This window comes from Homo sapiens, chromosome 4 (genome assembly GCF_000001405.40).
Source record: "Homo sapiens chromosome 4, GRCh38.p14 Primary Assembly".
Classification (NCBI taxonomy): Eukaryota; Metazoa; Chordata; class Mammalia; order Primates; family Hominidae; genus Homo; species Homo sapiens.
Window position 1 is genome coordinate 149,970,839 of NC_000004.12, and position 3,769 is coordinate 149,974,607.

Genomic DNA, 3,769 nt, shown 5'->3' on the forward strand with positions numbered 1-3,769 from the left:
AGCAGGATAATTCTTAAAAAGAAGAAGAAAAGGAGAAGACTAGCCCTAAAGATATTAAAATGTACACATATAATAATGTAACAATTAAAAGTGAGATATTGAAGCATGATTAAACAGACATGGCAACTGAAGAGAAAAACAAATGCCAGAAAAAATTCCAAACTCATGCAAGGATCTGTCATATAATAAAGGCATTATTTCAAATTGGCATTGAAAAAACTGGGTACCATGCAGAAAAATATGATTTTGTAACTATATCCTGCATCATAAATTCTATGTGGATCAAAATTCTAATGCAAAAAACTGAAACAAAAAAAAGTATTTAAATGAAATATTAAAAAATCTTAAATGCTCAGCAATTTATTTTATGAATATCAACAAACTGATTAAAGTTTATATGGAGAGGCAAAAGACCAAGAATAGTAAAAACAATATTGAAGAAAAATAAAAAAGTTGAAGGACTGACACCACCCAGATTTGACTTACTCTAAAGTTACAACAATCAAGACAGTGCGGTATTGGTGAAAGAATAGACAAATAGCTCAATGGAACAGAATACAGCTCAGAAATGGACCCATATAGACCGGGCATGGTGGCTTACATGGGTCAAGTGCTTTCGGTAATCCCAGCACTTCAGGAGGCTGATGCAGCAGGATTGCTTGAGCCTGGGAGTTCAATATCAGCCTAGGCAACATGGCAAGACCTCTTCTTTACAAAAACTAAAAATAAAAATTAGCCAGGAACAGTGGCATGCACCTGTAGTACCAGCTACTCAGGTGGCTAAGATGGGAGGGTTGATTGAGCCCAGGAGGTCGAGGATGATTGTACCTCTGTACAGTGAGCATGATTGTACCACTGCACTCCAACCTGATCAACAGAGCAACTCCCTGTCTCAAAAAGAAAATAAAAAGAAAAATAAATAGACCCATATAAAAGTGGTCAACTGATCTTCAAAAAGTTGCAAAGACAATTCAATGGAGCAAAGATATTCCTTTCAAAAAATGGTGTTGGAACAACTAGACATCCACATTTTAAAAAGTGAATCTAGACACAGACCTTACACCTTTCACAAAAATTCACTCAAAATGGATTGTAGACCTAAATGCAAAATGCGAAACTATAAAACTCCTGGAATATAACATAGGAAAAAAATCTAGGTAATCTTAGATATGGCAATGAATTCTTAGATACAATAAAAAAAGGCACAGTCTATGAAAAAAAAATTGATAAGCTAGACTTCATTAAAATTTAAAACTTCTGCTCTGTGAAAAACACTGTCAAAAGAATGAGAAGACAAGACACAGACTGGGAGACAATATTTACAAAGGACATATCTGATATGTCCTGATCATATCTGATATGTCCTGATCATATCTGATAGGGACTGTCATCCAAAATACACAGAGAATCCTTAAAACTCAAAAATAAGAAAATAAACAACATGATTTAAAAAATAGACCAAGAACCTTCACAGACATCTCACCAAAGAAGACATACAGATGGCAAATATGAAAAAATACTCAACATTATATGTCATTAGAGAATTGCAAGTTAAAACAATGATATACTACTATACAGCTATTAGGATGGCCAAAATCTGAAACATTGAAAATGCCAAGTGTTGGAAAGGTTGTGGAACAACATGGATTCTCAGCCACTGCTAGTGGGAATGGAAAATGGTACAGCCACTTTGGAAGACAGGCTGACAGTCTCATACAAAACCAAACATATTCTTGTAATATGATCCAGCAACCATGCTCCTTGGTATTTACCCAAATGAATTGAAAACTTATGTCCAGACAAAAGCATTTGCACGGATGTTTATAGCAGCTTTATTCATTATTGCCAAAAACTTGGAAGCAATTAAGATGTCCTTCAGTGAGTGAATAAATAAGTAGACTATGGCACATCAGACAACAGAATATTGGAATATTATTCAATGCTAAAACGAAATAAGCATTGAATTATATTGCTATCAAGCAATACAAAACACAGAGCAAACTTAGTATGAATATTATTAAGTGAAAGAAGCCAATCTGGAAGGGCTACAGCTATGTGATTCCAACTATATGATGTTCTGGAAAAGGCAAAATTATGGAGACAGTAAAAAGATCAGTTGTTGTGAGGGGCTGAGAGAGCAGGAGGGTGGGTGAATAGGCAAAACACAGAGGATTTCCAGGGCAGTGAAGCTATTCTGAAGGACATTGTAATGTTGGATACATGTCATTGTACATTTGTCAAAATCTACAGAACGTATAACAATGCCAAGAGTAAATCCTAATGTGAATTATGGAATTTGGGTGATACTGATGTGACAATATAGGTACATCAATTGTAAAAAATGTATCACTCTGGTGTGGGATATTGATAGTGAGGGAGGCTGTACATGTGTAGGGGCAGGGAGTATATGAGAAATCTCTGTAATTTCCACTCAATTTTGCTGTGAATCTAAATCTGCTCTAAAAATAAATTCTATTACAAATAATCAAAAACTGCTGCTTGGTAAAAGCCACCGTAAACATGACAAAGTATGTAAAATATGTACAACAAACATCACAGTCAAAGGGCGAATTTTCTTATGCAAATATCAACTACTAGAAAAAAATGGGAAAAATAAACAGTGCAAAGAAAAGGAAACATAAATAGTTCTTAAATGTGAAACCTCATACACTATGATATTAAAAATTAAAATTACACTGGAGAGCTTCAAAATACATGAAGCAAAAACTGACAGACCTAAAAGAAGAAATAGGCAAATCCACAACTTATCATTGAAGACATCAACACGCACTTCACCCAGCAATTGGTAAAACAGTAGACAGAAGATTGGTAAAGATATAGACTTGAATGACATTTTCAACCAGCTTGACCTAATTGGTATTTGTAGACCACTATATCTAAAACCCACAGAATAGACACTCCTTTAAAGTGCACATAGAATACTCACAAAATAGACTACATTAGGCCATAAAACAAGTCTCAATAGATTTCAAAGGAAATTATGCCGAGTAAATTTTCTGAATACGAGGGAATCAAATTTGAAATCAAAAACAAAATGATATTTTTAAAAATCCCCAAATATTTGAAAATTAAAGAACATAGTTGTAAATCACTAATGTACCAAAGAAGAAATTACAAGGGAAATTAGAAAACATTTTTAACTGAATAAAACTGAAAACACAATATATCAAGATTTGTGATATGTAACTAAAGTAATACTTGAAGGGAAAGTTACAGCTTTAGATGCTTATACAGAATTAGAAAATAAAGAAAGTAGTAGGAAAGCCTAAAATTAAATCTCTCATTCCATCTTAAGACACTAGAAAAAGAGAAACAAATTAAGTTCGAAGTAAGCAGAATAATGAAAGTAACAGTAGAAATCATTGAAATAGAAGAGCCAAAAGCAACTTTAAAAAGTAATGAAACCAAAAAGATGACAGTTCTTTGAAACAAATCAATGAAAATTGATAAATTTCTAGCTAGACTTGTCAAGAAAAAGAGAAAACACAAGTATTCAGTATCAGAAATATTCTATAAATATTAAACAAATAATTAGGGAATACTGCAAGCAATTTATGCCAACAATTCAACAACTTAGATGAGACAGGCAAATCCCTAAAAGATACAAACTGCCAAAGCTCATACAACAGTAAAGGGAAAATCTAAACTACCCCGACACCAAAATCAGACTAACACTTTGCAAATAAATAACTAATATCCCTCACGAACATAGATGCAATTCTTAGCAAAATATTAGCAAAGATCCAGG